The 19,468-nt window shown below is 38.8% G+C and overlaps 1 protein-coding gene and 1 long non-coding RNA gene across 4 annotated transcripts in view, besides 1 other annotated feature; both read left to right on the forward strand.

Moving 5' to 3' along the window:
* Positions 1–5,632, forward strand: part of ACTR3 (actin related protein 3) — a 72,663-nt gene extending 67,031 nt beyond the window's left edge. For 2 of the 3 annotated variants that reach the window (NR_102318.1, NM_001277140.1), the window contains one exon: positions 396–4,590. Coding sequence is in view for 2 of the 3 variants with exons in the window: in NM_001277140.1 (NP_001264069.1) it covers positions 396–491 (96 nt within the window). In the remaining variant the exon portion in view is untranslated. Of the gene's footprint in view, positions 1–395 lie in introns of all 3 variants that reach the window. The other variant, NM_005721.5, reaches the window with a different exon arrangement.
* Positions 9,868–10,162: an enhancer, noted in NCBI's record as "tiled region #10480; HepG2 Activating DNase matched - State 5:Enh". NCBI's record gives its function as "activates a minimal TATA promoter and a strong SV40 promoter by Sharpr-MPRA in HepG2 cells {active_cell/tissue: HepG2}" and the evidence as "EXISTENCE:reporter gene assay evidence [ECO:0000049][PMID:27701403]".
* The window catches only part of LINC01191 (long intergenic non-protein coding RNA 1191), a 58,761-nt gene continuing 51,650 nt past the window's right edge, over positions 12,358–19,468 (forward strand). The window contains exons 1-2 of the long non-coding RNA NR_148507.1: positions 12,358–12,639; positions 13,665–13,789. This is a non-coding gene — a long non-coding RNA (long intergenic non-protein coding RNA 1191). The remainder of the gene's footprint in view (positions 12,640–13,664; positions 13,790–19,468) is intronic.

The following is a 19,468-nucleotide window of genomic DNA, read 5'->3' on the forward strand; positions in this document are numbered from 1 at the left end:
AGTCATAGCATGACTAGGAGTAGTTTTATCTGTAGTTAGGCGAATGCCGCTTCTTTACATTATTGGTGCAATGAAAGTATGGGAAAGTCTCAACAGAACAGACTGGACATTTGAGAACCTTCCATTTTTCAAAATTTCAGAATCCTCGCAGCAGGTGTGTGAGACAAGGATTGGGGACAGGAGTTAATTGCTCTTTTGGAGTTCCGATAAAGATTTATAGCTGATTTTAAGTCATGGCTGCTAGAATTTCTAAGCTTTCATGCCATGAATGGACTAATAATAAACATTTTAGACTTAACATCTATTTTAAAGCATCACTCTTAAAGTTTATTTCAATATACCTTCAAGATGGTAGATTTTTGACCCTTATAAAAATACATATTTTTTGTTTTCAGCCTGAGTTCTACCAAGTATGCCACACCAAAAAGGATTATGAAGAAATTGGACCTAGCATTTGTCGTCACAATCCAGTGTTTGGAGTCATGTCGTAAAATTGGCTTCATAGTTATTGGGGTTAGGGAGGTGGGGAAGAGATAATCTTTCTGATTACCTGTTTTGTCTGGATGGCTGGTTTTGAGGTTTTAAACCTGACTTGAAATAGTAACACCAAACATGATTATACAGGAATATTTTAATAAGTGTATCACCATGCAGATGTAGAAGAGAGCGAAAGTGATTGTGTTTTTCTTTAGATTGAATATTTGAATCTTATGTGTAACAAAAAGAAGTGGGTTTTAGTTCTTTCTGTGCCCTGATATTTTGTATATTAATGAATTATCCAAGATTCGATGGGATTTATCAGTGTGTAGATAGCTCTATAATGCTTGAATTGTACACTTCTAAGTGTGCAGTGCAAGAGCTTGTTTATATTTCATACTTTTTATACTTTGAGGAAAAAAAGTCAAAGAAAAATTGTATTTGAGGGAAAAAACCATGACCAAGTAAAGGATAAATTCAAAAAATAGCCTCATGAGACTTGGCATACACACTCGTGGGATTCCAGTTATTATGGAGTGCTTCCATCCCTCTCCACCCCTTCCCCCCAAAAGGTTTTCTTTGCAAGTGCTTTTGGAACTAAGAGCTAGTATCTTGGATTAACTGATGCCTGCTAGTGCTTTCTGATTACTCGCATTCTGTTTCTTGCTTTAAAAGAAGAGTAAAGACAAGAGTGTTGGACCAGTATTGCAGTTCTGTAGTGTCATTTCTTATAAAAAACAAAACAACAACAATAATTTATCAAAATTGGCATATTTAAAGCCTAACATTCTAATAAAGGCACAAATTTCTTTTTAATACTTGTTTCAGCCTCTTTAATCTCTTTATAAGTTAACTAATAAATCTATTTTCTTCAGACTTCTGCAATAGTTCTTTAAAATCACAACAGTTAGCAAGCTGACTTTTGTAATGTGCTCAATACAAATACTTGTGAACTTTTAATATGTTGAGTGCTTTCATTTTGATAACTGGATCTCCATTTGATATTTTCATTTGTATAACTCATTTGCAGTCTGAAAATTTTTTTTAGTGCCAGTCCCTGAACATATCATTGAAAGTTAATTTTCTTTGCATTTTAAAATATCTGGATTATGAAGAAAAAGTGATGAAAATAAATTAAAACTGAATTACCTTTTCTAATGTTTTTTTTTTTTAAGTAATGTAATTCTATTTTGTTTTTATGTATGTGATATCTGTTTCTGTTGAGATTTGGGAGTTATTGAAATCTCTGTAATGTGTATGGTAGAAAATTTCTTGTGACCTTAAAATTTTACCAGTTATTTATAGAAAGAGAAAATGGGAAATGTTTTATAGGCTTTTTACTAGCAGTATCAGTGAACACTTGAACTCCATTATTCATGAAAATAACACGTTAGGATTGGAATACGTCTATTCAAAAGTGAAAGAATATAAAGTGTTTAGTTTTTTGTTTTTACTCTAAAGATAGAATTGGGGAGTAAACTTCAGTTTTTGTTTAGAGTGGATCTGAATATTTAAAATCCTATAATAATTTTTGTGAATCTTCATTCTTTGAGTATGGGATTGTAAAAGACAAACTATATCCTACAGTAGTATCATCATCAGTATCAAAGGTCTCCTTTTTTTACTTGGAAAAGTAATTCACAAACATTATAAAAATACTATTCAAACAGTACCAAAGAGTAGATTAGCAAAAGTAAGTTTTTTTCCCTAGCCTGTCTCATTTTTCCATCATTACACAGACTACTTGGAATGTCTTAGATGTCCTTGTATTGTAATTTTCTGTGTAGGTAGAAATAAATGTAGCTTTCTTATTTTACACAAATAGGAACTTACTGTATATACTGTTCTGCACTTTGCTTTTATTAAAGATCTTTTGATAAAGAACTATATTGATAAGCAGTAAAGATGTCATGCTCCTGGCCCAATAAAATATTGTTAGCATTGTCATAAATATGTCTTTTCCACCGGCGATGGTTGGGTAGTTAAGTGAATAAGCTAGAAAGACATGTTTATAAAGCTATTTGATGACAATCTCAGGCATATTTATACAGAGATGTTCTTAACTGTTTGCTACAAAAACATGAAGATCAAAAACTTTCTTGAAGCTTACGCTTAACTTATTTGGGGAAACAAAACTCCAGCCCTTCTTGTGTATGTTCTGATATCCCTTTGCTCTACTTTTAGAGGAGTGAACCCTAATAGGATGGTAGCAGCATTCTTGTTTCTTTATATCTCTCCTCTGTGATTGTATACCGTTTTTTCAACTTAAAGCAACTTCAGCTGGAAATATGTAGAGGTTGGCCAAGGTGAACTAAATAGTCTGTAACATTGATTAGATATCAAGCAACGTGAGCATGGTAGCAAAAGCACTAACTGAAGCCAGTGATTTAATTTTTAATTCTGATTCTGATAATTGATGATATAGCTCCTCGAACTTTGTTTTTTGTTAAAACTTGGAAAATATATTTGTATTATTTTGGACAAATTATTTGAACTCTCTGGACCTTGATTCAATTTATATATAAGGTAAAGGCATTATACTGGATTATCCTGCAATTTCTTTGAGTTGTTAGAATATAATGTAGCTTATTAATAGCAATATTAGCAGTGTAGTAGATTCTGACTGCAAAACCTAGCCTTTTCTATTGATTCATTAGTGGTAGTAAAGGTATTATCTGATTTATCCTTTTTAATAGGCAGTGCTTTGATCAAGTGGGAAATAGTAATGGACAAATAAAATCAATGATCATTATCTAACTTGATGCCTGCTTTTCAAAAAGTGAGCAAATTTCACATCTTCACCCTTAGACATTAATTCATGGCACCTACTATAAGTACTCATCCTCTTCTTACCTATCTTCTTTTCTATAGGAGATAAAGTGGTTATTCAGACCCCCCAATACAATTTTTTGGTTTGTTTTCACAGCTACTTAAAAGATTAAAATAACTATTCTTGCAGATATTTCTAGGAATATTTTTAGAAATAATATGAAATACAGGGATAATAGGCCAATTATGATCTTTATTTTTAATTTCTACAGAAAAGTACTAGAGAATATATCTATAGAAACTTCTTTCAGATAACCCTAAAGATGATACTAGAATGTTTATAAAATTATTGAGAAGATTATTTGTGTTATAAAGCTTATTTGTACCATAGTAAAGGATGTTTTTGTTCCTCTTCATTCTGGGCTAATCTGTCAATACTGAAGTCCAGTCTTTTCCCCCTTTTCTTACCAGCTCAACCTTGATTCCTGTGACCCATTCTTTCTGATCTTTCGTAGTTCATAGTCACCAGGCATGAGTACCTTGGATAGCCCTCTGAAGTCTGTTACCACCCAGATTTCCAACTCGGGTTAATTGGTACTAATTCTATTAGCTGGTATAAATAATCCAAAATCTGTGCAGACTCTGGGAGCAAAATGTTCTACTCAGTTTGGAATACTGTGCCTTAAAATATATTTCATTGTAACAGCACCTTGTATATATAGTTGGCCAAGGACAGAGTTGTTACAAGTTACGTGGAACTTTCATAGCAAATCTTGACAGTAAATACCTTGTTCTTGTATTAGGTCTATATCCTGAATTGACCTTTAGCAAGAATCTTTAGATCTGCTGGAGGGCTGGGATGGCTTTTGGACTTCAGTGAAAAAGAATTTCTGCTACTCATTGTTGATAACGCTTCAGTACTGTATAAATGTTTATCCTTTTCCACGTAATTTGTTTTCTATGATATGAGAACTTTTATTATAATTTGCCTCAGTCTTGATAGAATCTTAACAAAAATAAAATCTGTGGTCGTCTGAGGTATTCTCCATGCTATAACCCAGTTTAGCTGATGCATTTGGAGCTTGGGTGCTGAAATTAAATATAACCTATTTGAGTTAAGGATTTATTACTAGTGCTCCAGTGGTCACAGGAACAATAAAAAAGGAACAACGATAGAAATACGTGATCTAGGAAAGAAGGCAACTGAAAAACCTGAAAGAAAAAAAATGAAAGATTAAAAGTATACGATATTCTATTTTGATTTAGCAATTACTTGTTTTCTAGTGTTCTGTCAATTTTTGGTGACTTTTATAATTACATTAAAACTAAGATGCTGAATTAAAATAAAGTTTCTCTTTTATTCAAGCACCAACATTCACTTATATTACCTATATATTGCATCAAGTTTTGAGCCTTCAATCCCAGAAGCATTGATTGACTGTCTACTGTGGTTCAAGTACTGTGCATAAAGATGAATAAATATTCTGTCCTTGGCTTAGTCTAATAGTAAAGGCACTCTTAGAGGAGGGACAAATATTTTGCCTAGATAAGATTTGAGAGATAGTAAGTGCGGAATTTCTCTTCATAAAAATGGTAGTGTTAGTTGTTTAGAGGGAGAAGTCCAGCTATGTAAGGTGAAAGTGGGGCTTATAAAAGTGGATCTATTGTTTAAAAATTAGTACTTTGCTCCTAAAATTTTTACCTAAGTGTTACATCCAACAACAGATGAAAGTAATTCGACAGTAGCATCTGCTTTATTCATTTCATATTTCCAGTGCCTGACATATTGCTTGGCATATAGTAGTTTAGTGGATGTGTTTGATGAATGAATGAGTAAAAATTATTTTTCATGTTAAAATAAAACTTTGAATTACATGAGTATACAACTTTTGTTCCTTCAAAATACCCATATTTGTCAAATATGACCGAATTACGACTTTTTTTCTGTTCCACTAGTTTCTACCTTAGAAGTGACATTCTGCGTAAGGTAGTGGGGGATTACTAAGTGATCATGACTTTTCTGAAGCAGGTCTTAAATAATTATCTAAGCCTTCAGTCATTTCAAAATCTCTGTAGTGTAAATGATCACAGGCTCTAAATCAGATTGTTGTACAAGGTAATTGACATGTCCTGAAATGTAACATTCAACATTAACAGTAGAAACAGGCCTCATTTCTCCCTCTGGCTTTTATTGATCAATTTTGATATTGTCCAGATCCCATGTTAAACCACTTGATTTAGAGATGACTTAATTCTAAACTTCCTCCATTTTTAATTAATAAGATTCAAGGTTGCAGTAAATTGTTAATCTTATTTGGAATTATATTAGAAAGTCGATATCGGAATTGGAACCACACATCTTTTTCTTATTGTGGGTACATGGGATCTTTCCCAAATAAATTCCTGAGCAACAAGAAAATCTGAGACTTGTTTTAAATGCTAAAATGATTAGTTGGAATAATGTATACATTCATGAGATGACTAAAGCACTAGTGGGGTAGTTTCTACTGCAGTAGACTGATTTTTCTTAGCCCAAACCTTGAAAGATGAATGTTTTAGTAGATGGAGAGTAGGTGGGGATGATATTTTAGATATGGCAGAAGCAACTTGAGTTACAGCAATTGGGGAGGGGATTAGAATATTGTGATTAGGAGAAGTGAGGAGAAGAGTGGGAGAGAAGACTGAAGGATATCTGACACCTTCAAACACACCCTCAAACACAAACATTGGCTAAAAAAGTTGATGCAGTTCAGGGTGAAATCACACACATGATTGACATAAATAACATTGTGGAAAAGTGACTTTGCAAAGACCACACAGGTAGTTGCAGAATAGAACTTACTGGTTATAATTTTTTTGATATTTTACTGAATAGCATATGGTTTATTAAATTTTTTTCAAAATTAATTTGGCAACATTTCTTAGCTTCTCTGACTCATTCTATTGGGAAAGCTGATAGCAAGATTCCTGTGCTAGACTACTAGAGGGAGGTATCAGATGACCAAGTCATGTCTGATACTATAGTTACCAGATAGTTACCAGGCTAATGTGCTGAACTAAGGAAGGAGCCTAAAACTCAGCAGTCTTTTTGAGATTGGATTGGACTTTATGAATAGGCAATGAGCTCTTAAAAACGACATTCCATATACAGAAAAACTATGGGGATTTCAGACTGCCTAATTTAGCTTCTCCACGGGGCATACTTGAGGTCGTTCACATTTTGGCTATGTATCTCCACATTGGTGCTAAGTTTGTGTACCTCGTTTCTGATTTCACTAATGCTGAAAGTTCAACTTGCCAGTGACCTAAGTGGATCTTTTATGAATTAGAAAGTACCTCACTTGGCTTTTGAAGACTGGTAAAACATTTTTAGGCTACAAATAAAAGGGAAGTTTGTAATGATGTTATAAAATACAATGCTTGGCATGTGGCAGATGCTTAAACATTTGTTGAATAAAGTTATCTTCCTTTTAAGATGGTCCATTGAAAAAATGGAGCAGCCGTTATATGTCTATATATGTTTTAATGACCTCAAGCTCAGAGATCTGCTAGTGATCTCACCTTTAGATAACATCTGAGTTGAATGTCTGTGGAGTCCCCTGCCACTGGTATATCTCAAAAGAAATAGCATTATTTGGTCTGGGCAGTACTGTCTTTGTCTATTTATCTATCTTCACCTCTATAAAGTGGGAGGTTGCAACTCTGTGGGCAGTATTCCTCAGGGCACTAGAACAATGAATGAAATGGTGTTACGTATTTTCCCCTCAAGGAGAAATGACTTCTTAAACCCCAAGTGGAAGATTTTTCATTCCGTCATTAGTATTCTAGTATTCTTTTTGAAATTGAAGTAGCAACATGCCTTTGACCTGTTTCACAAAGTTGACAAACGACTTTTTGAGACATTTAGCCAAGAGATGGAAGGAGTGGCAGATGTGGCTTCTGAGCTTACTCCTTCCGTCCACCCACTAGATGTCTCTCTTTTCTGCCCTTATCTGTAAGTGAATATATTTAAATAAGGCTTGCTATTAAAATCAAATTGAATCTGGACTATGGAAATAATGCATTTCATTTTCTTATTTAAAGCATGCCATTTTCAGTAATATACCCATGACTTGAGTAAAACCAAAGATGTTCTTTAGGGTATGACAGTAATTTGCAGTGGGATTTATTTATCAGCAGTATTGATTTGGAACATTCTATATGCTAAGCACTCTTCAAGATGCTGGGGGTAGTGGTGAATGAAATACGTGATTTTTGCATTCTGGAACTTTAAAAGTATATTCAAGCTACAGCAAAGTAACGTTAAAATTTCAAAATCAGAAATAAGATTGTTTACATTCTTGCATTAATGAAATCCAGGAGAGGTAAAGGATTGAGTAACATTCTAAGATTTATTTTTTTTTGCCCTTGAAATTCTCTTTTTACAGTACTTGCTAGTGTTCTCTACATTTTTTTAAGGTTAGACTTTGTACAGTTTCTCCAGTTGAAAAGATGCGAAGTTAATTGCATAATTACTGAAACGTAAGACATGTTCATCCCTTAATATTACATTACACATACATGATAACTGGCTTTAATTCATCGTGCAGATTTGAGGCACTCATAAACTGGCCCTACATTTGTCCATTGAAAATATATGTACTATAAATGAAGGTTTCTTCCCTGGAAGAGAAAGTTCAGAAACTGTTTCCATATTTGCAACATGTGATCTAGAACTACATAAGTGGTACGTTTTTCATGTTTCAATCTGAATCCTAAGTGATGGCATGGATTGGTTTAACCAGTTGCTCTGTATTATTTTAGCATAGAACTGACCATTGGCATCCCGCTCCCAAGATAATTTTCCTAAGGTGAGCTTTACCATGGAAGAAGATTGTGATTTTGATTTTATATCCCAAAATATATTTACTCAAAGTATGCTTTCCTCTGTATCCTAATAATTTAAGTTGGCTATTTTCCACAGAAAATTTCAATAACTTAAAAATGCTCAAAGTTATAAAATTACCTTAAGAACGAACTCAAAATGTATGGTGTTCTGAGGTCCAGGCGTTATGTGCTCGGGGTCCCTTACATCCTTGGCTAGATCATTACCCTTTCCAAAGTAGCTGGCCTCCTTGGGCTTATTATAAACTTACAAATGAGCAACTATAGAAGGAAGTAAAGTTCCTTAAGAAAGTGGATGCGGGCCATTTTAGCTTAAGTAGTAAGCAAACGAGCTGAAGCTACACTTATCAAGAAAGCAAACAGCTTTCTTCCATGTGCTGCCAAATTCTTTTAGAGTATCCTTATAAAACCTGCAAAATGGACTCAAAATTTATAGCTTAAAGCTAACACTTATAAAGAAGATCCGCATCCCAGGTTGTGAGTTTTGGGGATAGCACTTCAGAATGAGATAAAAGCTGCTTGAGGTTAGATACATATGAAGGCTTGTAAATATTTTGAAAAATGGAATTAATATGTGTTCTGGCAGCACAAAAGTCTTTTAGGTAGCCTTGAGTTATTTTAGAGTGAGGGAGCTTTCCCTTCACATCTCATTGTGCCAAGTAGGACTCCTGCTCTAAGATGTCTTACACACCTGGCTCTAAGCAGCAGCTGTAGTAATGCATATGTGATGTCGCTGCTGACCTCAAGAGGGGGCTCCACACATTGAGTAAAAACAAAGCAATCTTACATGGAGAGGCCTTCCTGACACTTGTCATCACTGCTGCCTTTGAATGTGTACCTTAGTGTCATCTCTGAGATAAGGGCCAGTTCTAATACATGTGGCTGATCAACAGGACATGGTTGAATACTTGGTAAGGACTTCTCTTTAGGAATGGTTTTCATGTATTAATCTAGTTTTAATTAATCTAAACATTGATGAACTTGATTATATTTTGGTGCAGAGCTGAACTGCTTTATCAGATGGGAAGTTTTGTCTCATGTTCACTAAATCCAAGTAAGTTTACCCTAGAATTATTAAAAACAGAGAGAAGTTCTAGTTTCATGTCTTTCACGCTTCTGAACAACAACTTTTTGTGCTATCTGTTCTCTGATTTACACCCACCAGACTAATTTACAAACAACTCCTTGCAGTGTATTAACGTTTCATGATGAGATGAAGTGGAAAGTGTTCTATGACACAAAAGCCCTTTACTCAAGGGGTACCGCAGGGTTGAGAAAAGCTTTCCACTCCAAATGGTGTCATTATGTTCTCTATAATGGGTGCGATTGTTTAATAATGACATATTTGAGCTGAGATGATTGAACATACATTATTTGAGTAATAAAAACTCAATAGGCTATGCCTTTTTAAGCAGTTAATGTATGCCTAGGGTAAGATAAGACAGAAAAGCCTCGTTGTCATCCTCCATAAAAAGAGCAAAATCTTAAAGGTGCAGGTTTGAAAGTATATTTCTGTAAACGGGATTTACACAGAAGGCTATCCTGTGTGCATAGCTGTTTCCTTTGAAAAGTTCCCTTTGTAGGAGCAACTTTGTTGAATAGATTCCTATTGAAATCCTATTAAAATAATGGTTTTTTTCCAGCTGAGGAGGATTGGCTTGCCTTCAGTTTTGCAAGTGGGAAGCTCTTCTAATTTTAGGAGAGCTCCCTAACCTGCCACTTGACCTAACCTCTTTAGGTTGATGAACTTGAAATACTGCTGCTTCTTGGTAATCAGGTTCAGTCCAAAATTTTTTTCTAAGTATGTACCATATAAGAGACACTGTGCCAGACCTTGGCGGGAATACAGTGTACTTTGTATTTACAGTCTCGCATGGAGACAGCCCTGAATATTACTAACCAAAATGCAGGACAGTGTGTGTTTAGTGTTGTAACGGAAGTGAGTAAGTAAAAATTAACTCAGACTGAGGAAGTATAAATCTGTCTTGTCCTTCATCACACACAGATAAAGCCAGGAGACAATATTTCTCCCAAGGACCTGCTACAGCTATAACCTGTCATAACTCCCTTCGAGTGACTATTTCCCTTCTTACTCGCTGAGAAACTTTCTTCTCTAAAATCACAGACTATCAGAAAATCTACGGTTGAAAGTTCTATCAGTAAGAATGAAACATCCCACTTTTACATAATTCACTTTGACAGAGAGAAGCAGCCTTGATTCCCAAAGGAAATGCAGAACTTCAGATAAGGACTTCTTGGACACACATTCCACATCTATCTTAACTATAGTTTCCATGGATACAGGATCCTAGGCCCACTTGCACACCTGATCCCTTTAGACACAGCCCTGCTTTGTTCTGAGCCTATGGAAATGCTGATTCATTTGAATTTTACCCTACCCTTAAATCTTAATTTCTGTGGTTCCTCTGTGTATAGTTTCCTTCATGATAATGGGTCATCTTTGTCAGACTATAGGTTTGTTAACAGTATTTGATACTGCAGACATGAGACCACGAAAACTGTATTGATTTTTTTATTTCAGTAATTCTCAATTTAGCATTATATATGTGTGTGTATTTACATAATATGTAACATATATCCCTTTATCCTGTTTTTTCCACTTTTAATGGTTTTGCCTTTTTTTTTCCTTTTTTTTTTCTTTTTTTCTTTTTTTTGAGACAGAGTCTTGCTCTATCACCCAGGCTTGAGTGCAGTGGCTTGATCTCACCCCATTGCAACCTCTGCCTCCTGGGTTCAAGTGATTCTTGTGCCTCAGTCTCCTGAGTAGCTGGAATTACAGGCATGCACCACCACACCCAGCTAATTTTTGTACTTTAGAGACGGGGTTTCAACATATTGGCCAGGCTTGTCTCGAACTCCTGACCTTAAGGGATCTGCCCAACTCTGCCTCCCAAAGTGCAGGGATTACAAGCGTGAGCCACCGTGCCCAGCCAGTTCCACCTGATTTTTAAAATTGCGTTGGCCAGCATTGGACACACAGTAAATGTTTAATAAATACTTTCCACGTTGAATCAAAGAAGTTTCCTATCTTAGCTATTTCCTTGAAACTTTCCTGAAGTTTGAAACCTAACAGATCATCAGTGACGTCCTCATCACAGTTTCACCTCTGCCTAATAAAGCACAAATTACTCTTAAGCAGTGAGGCGCTGTGCAGTTGAAGCCTTTTATAACTCCATTTGTCTGCAGTCACCTAAATGTCAGTGGACAGATGTGTTTGTCATAGTGTGTGATAAGTGCAAATAACCCTTGTTAGTAGTGTCATTAGAGGTGAAATAGATGCATAGGAACTAAGAGGTCATAAGCTGTCAGGTTTTACTCTAAGGAAATATAGAATGTCATTTGCACCTGAAAATGTGCAGAAGTAAATGGACAATTCTTCACCCCAATCTGTTTTTCAAAGCTTTGCATGTTTACATTTGTTCATCCACTACCTTAGTCACAGCATAGTGAAATAAACCATAAATTAAAAATAGCTCAGCGTACCACTGAAGAATCAATAGATCTGAATATAGTAGCGTAGAAAAAGCTTCGGTTTACTGGATGTACCTTCAAGGTGGACCATACCCTTTAGGTAGAGGATTAGTGGAGAACAGAAATCTCTGCCTCTCTATGGCTAGAAGTGGATCTATGTCATTGACCTACCTACAGTGGCACTTTTCCTTACTTGAAAGTTGGGTATACAGTGACCTCACCTACTCATAGAACCTGCAAAAGTGGGAATTAATAGAAAAAGGCTTTTGAGTAGCCAAAAAGGATTTGATAAAGTTAATATTCTAAGTTAGCCTGTTCTCTTACCACATAGTATGTCTCCTCAGTTCTTGTTTGCTTGATGCAAAGTTCTGAAGCTTAGTGACAAGGGACTTACCTTTGTCCCTGTTCCTACATCCTTCTAGGCTCTAACTGGTTTGATGAAGCGTGAGTAGCTCAGAGATATACATGCCAAGAACGGCCTGGAACAGTTTTATTGCCCCTCCCCTGCCCAACTCATTGAAGGAAACAGGAGGGAGTGAACCCGTCTCTTCTGCTGAATCCATTGCAGTCCACTTTTTTGTGTTCTAATGAGTATATTAAAATTGCAGTCTGAAGTCATTTCAGAGCTCCTATCCTTTACTACAAGCTGACTTAGGTGGGACTGCTCCAGCAACTTGGGGCTAAGAGGCACAGGGTCTGACTTCTCTCCCTGCTTCCCTACTCCTGCTCCATTAAGGGTGAGAGGTTGGGGAGTTTGCTGTCCTCTCTGTGATGACTTGTTGCTGCCAATCTGATTCCTAATGCTGTAGATTTATTAAGGCTAGATGGTGGAAGATTGGGCCCTGATGACAACGGAGCCATCCTGGGTTCCTCTGACCGTGATGAACCTCCTGGGAGAGGCAGCCACAGCTGAAGCACACACAGCTCCCTTCTGCTGTGGCAGCCCCACGAGCCTGCAAACCCCCATCTCATCACAGCCTCGGTTCTCAGCTCTGAGGCTGGCCAGACCTCCAACTGGTGGGTAAAACGCAGACATTTCCAAACACCAGGAAATATTTTCTTGGGTGGGTGGGAGTTGGGGGACAAACTGAATTTCTCCCTTGGACCATGAGAAGGAGAGAGAACCATTCTTGAGAAGAAAATTATTGTGAGGTGGTAACGCTCTCTCCCTCTGCAGCTGTCTTTATTGCCCCAGTTGGGAAACACTGTTTTATACATCACTATCTTATGTGTCTGCTGATGGAGTTTGCTGATGCTAAACAATGTCTCCAGGTCTCCAGGATGGTTTTCTTCCTGTCTGGGTCTCTTTCTACACCTCCTGCCAAGTCCTGCCTGCCCCAGTCCTTCTCTGGGGAATGGGTCTAGTTTTCAGGACCAGATGCATTGCCAGAGATTGTCAGACTGTGTCGAGCTCCTTTTCTCACATTTGATGGAAACAGTCTACACACATCAGCAAGCCCTGAATGCACTGTGTTAAATTAAAAATAACTATAAGCTTCCCAGTCATGGTCTTAAGTCTGGTTTTGATCATTTTTCCATGAAAGATTATTTAATTAAGTTAAATTCTTTAAGATAAATTGGGTTTAGAAATGATTAATAAGAGAAAGTACTTAAAGGAGTACATCCGGAAAACAAAGCTGCCAAGTAGGTAAATATAAAATTACTATCAAGCACCTACTATGTGCCAGGCAATGTTTTAGATATTTTGCATTTGATCCTGCAACCATTTCATGAATTAGCGTTGCTAACTCCATTTACAGAGGAGAAAATTGACAGTTGGTAAGGATAAAAGACTTGACCAAGGTTACAGAGAGTATTGCCTAGACCCTTTTGGATACAAGTAACAGAAAACTCCAATTCCAATTATTAATTAAATAAGAATGTCCTCTCACATCAAAGCAGTCTATAGGTAGGTGTCTCCAGGACTGATTGATTTAGTGGCCCACCAGCATCATCGGGGGTCCAGTATTTTCCCACCTTTTGTTGTGTCATTCTCAGCATGGAGGCTCTGTCCTTAGTTTGTCTTCTCCCTTTGTTGACAGATGGTGGTTGCTATTTCAGGCCCAGACATAATCAAATCCATGTGAAGAAAAGAGATTTCTTCCTGCGTGGCCCTTTGTAAGAGAAAGAAAATGTTCCTACAAGTCTTCCAGAGGAGTTCTTAATGGTGAGAACTGCACCATGTGTCTAGGTTGAATAGATTTCGAAGACAGGCTTAGTGAGACACCAGGTGAAAGGGTGTGTCCTACTAGAACAAAACCAGTTCTCTGTTTGGAAGAGGTGGGGAATGTACACGTTCATTGTTGGATACACACCAGCATTGTCTGCTGCACACAAAGTAGAGCAGGGATTCAAACCCCATTGTGTCTCATCTCAAACCTGCGTTTGTGTCTCATTCCCTAAGTCACACGCATGTGGGGGCTTACTGTGTTTGGCTATTATGAAAAATAGGATTGTAATAAACCCCAGATTTTGAGCAATTTACACTTAAGATTATGTTTGGGTTAGATAAACATTAAAATTTGTTCACTTTCTCTGAACATTGGCCAAATGGTGTGTGGAACCAGTTATGGTCTTGCAGAGTGTGGCTTTCTAATATTTAAAGCATTTAAAATTTATTTCCTTCTATCTGGTGTTAATAATCTTTTTAATATAGTGTCCCTCTCTCTCTCTCCCCTACTGGGGAGTGGTGGCTAATGAGGTTGGAAAGGTAGAGAGAGAGAAGAGGCCCTTGAATGTTAGGTTAAAGGATATAGATTTTTATGTTCCCTAAGGAATATGGAATCATTGAAAGTGTTATCCAGAGAAAGACATCACCCAAGCTATAATTAGGAAATTAATTTGTCGGAAGTGGATGAGAAGAATTGAGAGAAAAATTTGAGGTTTTACTTTTGTACGGGGTATGGCTCTCAGTCACCTGAGTCTGTTTTGCAGGAAATGCCCATTTCCTTATTTTCTTCAGGTTGTGTTTCAAGTTCCATTCTGCTGGGCTTGTAGGAAATTCAGTCTGAATATCATGATTTGGTACTCCTGCTTTCCCAAGCATGTTCTCAAATACGGAAAGATGACTAGGAGTCTGGGAGTCCTGGGAAGGATTCCTAATTTCCATCCCATCATGGTTGCCGTGGACGTCTTTGAAGCTGGGAGGCCTCCTGTGGCTTAGGGCATAGGAGCTTGGTCTCTAGGGACCAGGCTTTCTAGAGACACCACACAGCCATCCCTTCTGAAGTAGTGCTGCCTCTTCGGGTCTGCCATCAGTATGGCTTAGGAGGTTGCTCTCTTCACCCTCTCAGTCTCTGACCTCTTTGCAAACTGCATTCGGTGAAATTTATAGACCTTATTTATAGTTTGATGTGCTCTGATGAATTGAATACTCACATAAGCACACCCCAATCAAGATATAGCATATTCTTGTCACTCTAGAAATTCTCCTGTGCTTCCTTCCAGTCCATCCCCTCCCTACCTGGAAGCAGTCACTCTTCTAAATGTTATCCCCATAGTCTAATTTGCCTGTTCTAGAAATCCATATAAATAGAATCACGCAGGATACACTCTATAGCGTCCTGCTCCTTTTACCCAACATTGTATATGTGAGACTTGCCTGTATTATAGAAATCAATAGTTCATACCATTTTGTTGTTTAGTATTTCTTTTCTGTTGCTGAGTAGTATTCCACTCTTTTATCTTTTAGTCTTTCCCTCTCCTCCTGTTGTCCTCAAAAGCACTAACTGTGCTTTCTTCAATAAAAGCCAGGAAGCCTTCACCTGAAGCCAAGGATGCACAGGGTGCTTATTTTTTCATGGAATAGAGGAGGGAAAAGGCAGCACAAAAAACACAAGTTAGTATCTCAGGCAATTGGTCTGCCACATAATTATTCAGAGAAGAGACTATGAAGGCCTGGATTAGGGTGGAGCATGGGAACAGGGAGGAGAGGGGGCTATGAGAAGGCTAGTGCAGTGGTGGCATTGATGGGATTTAGGACATAATTAGACCTGGGGAAAGGCAGTGGAGGAAGGCCAATGCTGAGTTGTTTAGCCTGGGAGGTGACTGAGGTGACTGGTGTAGAGGTGAGGATGGATGTTGGTACAATATCTAGAATAAGAGGAGCCTATTTAGGAGGGAAAATGGTAAGTGCAGTTTGGTACCTGTTGATTTTGAGGGGTATATTGGAGATAATATCCATTATCTAGAAACAGATCGCTAGCAGAACTGAAAGTGAAGATAAAGAGTAATACATGAAGAGGTGAATGCTGAAACCTTGAGAAAAGAAAGGTAAAGGAGGGAAATAAGCCAAGAACAGGGCTTCGGGGAATGGCATGCAGGGGACCCAAGGAGGAAGAAGAGCCAAAAAAGGAAGGAGGGGGTGGCCACAGTATTATGAGTGGGAGCAGGGTGTCCTGGGAACGAGGAGAGCAAAGGACATGAAAGAAATAGCTGGCAGAAATGCCAAAGCCTACAGAGAGATGACAAAGATAAAGACTGAATAAAAGGTCATTACATTTCCCAGTTGGAAGATCACTGGTGGCCTTTGAGGGATCAACTTAAGAAGGGAAATGGGAATTGAAGAGGATTGCAAGGAGACCTGGAGTAAGGGAGAATAATGAGACAGCTCCAATCATTGGAAACAGCTCTTGTTATTTTTTTTTTTTTCAAGAAATATGCACTTAAAGAAGGAAAAAAGCTCAATGGTTGCGTGAGGGCTGGAGGATAGGTTGGAAGCGGGTTGCTTGGGTTAGTTCTCCTGGAAGCCTCGAGCATACCTGTGCGCTGAGGCTAAGGAGGCAGAAGTGAGAAGGGGCGGGTTTTGACTCAAGCTCCCAGAAGAGGCAACAGATGGTGGGATGGAAAGTGAGAGAAAAGTGGATTAATTCTGGAAAAGAGTGAGGGGTCAGTCCTCTTCTTGGAAAGCAGTGGAGGAGAGGATGGGTGATACATTCCAGGATGAGGAGGGAGCAGTCCCAGCTCTGGTTGTTTTCCAGCATGACCACAACCCCTCAAGAGATTTTTTTGCTGTATTTACTCTGAATACATGCGATTTATAAAATGTGCCCTTTAAGGACCAGGAGGCAGGATTTTGAAGCAGCACCTATAAAGGAGGCCTTTTCCAACAGCTCCAGGCAAGACAGTAGAGATGATCCCCCAAAAGTCAATCGGTAATCACTCTATCGTGTTCGTAGCAAATGGCAGCAAGTCCTAGGTTAGGAACCGTACTATGAAGTGTTAATAAGAGACACTGGGCACATGTCCTCTGATCAGATTAATCAGAGGCCAAACTACACGGCATTAACAACAGACATTAGCATTGGCTGGGTAGGTTGGCAAGGCGAAAGTGGGAAATACCAGACCTTGGATTCAGAAGCACTTGTCTGCACTCATTTTCAGAATTATATCTGCAGCACAAAAGGGACTCCCAGCATGTTGAATTGGCTTCACAATTAACATGATGCTTGGAAGCACACGGTTTGCTCAGGCTTGAGTTGTTCTGTGCTGCTTGAATGCACATCCGTTGGTGGCACACACAGGGGAGCAGTGATGCTGTGGTGTTTTCTACCTGACCTCCACAGGCCTGGCTATGTCCTGGAGGGCTCTGCTTGCTAGAAATTTGGCTACTCTGTAAAGGAATGTTACAGTTCTTGGAAATTCTAGTGAGTGTTCTCAGTATGCCCAGTGTGACAGGCCCAAATATACATCTATTAAACATACAGGAATGTATTTGTTGACCTTCTAGGGAGAAGGCACGTGTCCAAAGCTGCCCCACTTGCTCACATTGTGGTGGCTTCTGTATTCTGTATTACAGATTTTATCACTGATACCTCTAGAAAAAAGTGTCACTTCCCACCTCCCTTTCCCATTCCTGTGGATCTTGAGAATTTTTGTCAGTTTCTTCTCTTATCATGGTCTAACCCCAAACAACTTACAGTGGGTGCCACAGGTGTTAATATACAAAAGAATAAACAATATAGCTAGGATGATCTCTTCTTTCTGGAAGATTACTGTACACAAAGACACTACTTTTTCTAAACATTTAGAAATGAATTCCTAGAATTCTGTCATTGCAAACTGAGTGGGAACAATTCAGAAACTGAAGGCTGCAAGGGTTTGTCTCCTTCCAACTTCAGCCTTCCTTTCCCTCTCCCACAATGACCCTGGCCTTTTTGTGTGTATAAATTACCTCTGTCTGGGGTTGGATGGGGCACTGCGCTAAGCCTCTGGGAGAGGATGTGCTCTAGGCCTCCAGGAACTCATACGCTGTGACAGATGGTGGCAAATTAAACTGGCAGTTGAAAAAGCCAGAGTGTTTCCAGGGCTTCTGCTAGAGGAGTGGTTCCAGAGGGGTAGAGTCAGGCAAGATGAATAGCTGGAAAGTGGCCAAAAGCATTCCGTGAAAACCTATGTAGAAGAAGCTATTCCGGACCCTGTGTGTGCACACAAAGATAAAAGAGACCTATTTCTGTCCTATAATCTAGTAAGATTGACAACACACTGAAGGGAGCAGGGACAATGCTAGGCTGAATAGGAGTAGGAACAAAGGTTTATATGAGAGTGAGCCCAAAATTATAGCTGTAGTGTGGAAATGTGTGTGGATGGGTGAGCCTTGAATGACATGGTAAGAATGAGAGAAACTGAATGCTGCGGCTGGCCGGGACCCTAGGGATGACCTAGGCAATCCCCTCAATTTAAGCATGAGGAAACTGAGATCCCTCCCCAGCAAGGTGAAGTGACTTGTCCAAGGTCAGGGTCACTTAGGTACTTGATACTCAGTGATTAATAGCACAAATAATATCACCAGCGGCTAAGATGATCAAGCACCTATTGTACTCACTAGATTAATCACATCCTCACAGTAGGTTATTTTCGCTTGACAGATGAAGAAACTGAGACAGAAGAGGGTAAGTACCTTGCCCAAAGTCATGGAGCTGGTAATTGTTGGAAATCATGAGACTCGCACAGCAGTTGGGCTCCAGGGCCTATGCTCCTAACCTCTGAGCTACATGGCCCCTTGAGCCTCTAATTCCTGGGCCAGTGCTGCTTGTCCTTGAACCGGGCCTGGAAGGGGTTGGGGAGACACTGTACTCTCCTAAACAAGGGAGTGACCTGATGCAGGTGGCATTTAGTGATGCTTCATATGGCTTCAGTGGTCAAGGTGGACTAGAGAAGAAATGGAGAAGGGAGACCAGGTAGGACATGATCTAAATCCAGTTGTGATGCACATCTGGACTGCAGCAGGAATGGAAGATGGCACTGGACTGGAATGATTAGTTAGCAGTCATTTATTCTACAGTGTGAATTAGCCTGTCCTGTTGCTTATCCTGTGGGAAAAGAAAAACAACTGAAGGAAGGAATGGAGAGAGGGGAGAAAATAAAAAAGAGGGGAGGAATAGTATGTAAAGGGAAGGGCAAAGGAGCAAAAGTAGAAATGGAACAAAATTGATGATGACTTCACAATATTCCTCACCTAGTCCCTGGCCTTTTGGGTATAGTTTAATTTAAACCATCTATTTCTGTCAATTTCTCATTGAAGGAAGAGAACAAGAACAATGCCATCTCCTAGACAGCACGAGACCTTAACAAGGTAGTAGAAATCTCATGAGGAACCCAGCTGGTGTTCACAGATCAGGAACTCCCACAGGGAAGGACTTGCCACCCCACTGCTAGGACCCCATCAGAAGACGGCCCCATCAGCATGCAGCAGACACTGATGGGACCCCATTAGCAGACAGCAGACAGCTAGCTCTATGCTATAGAGACCCTCCTCATCCAAGGTCGCAGCCTTCGTGGGGCAACCCACATCCAGTGACTGACTGACACAGAAGGACAAAGCCAGGCCATTTTAGCCCAACATGGG

This window comes from Homo sapiens, chromosome 2, assembly GCF_000001405.40.
Source record: "Homo sapiens chromosome 2, GRCh38.p14 Primary Assembly".
In the NCBI taxonomy this organism is placed as follows: domain Eukaryota; kingdom Metazoa; phylum Chordata; class Mammalia; order Primates; family Hominidae; genus Homo; species Homo sapiens.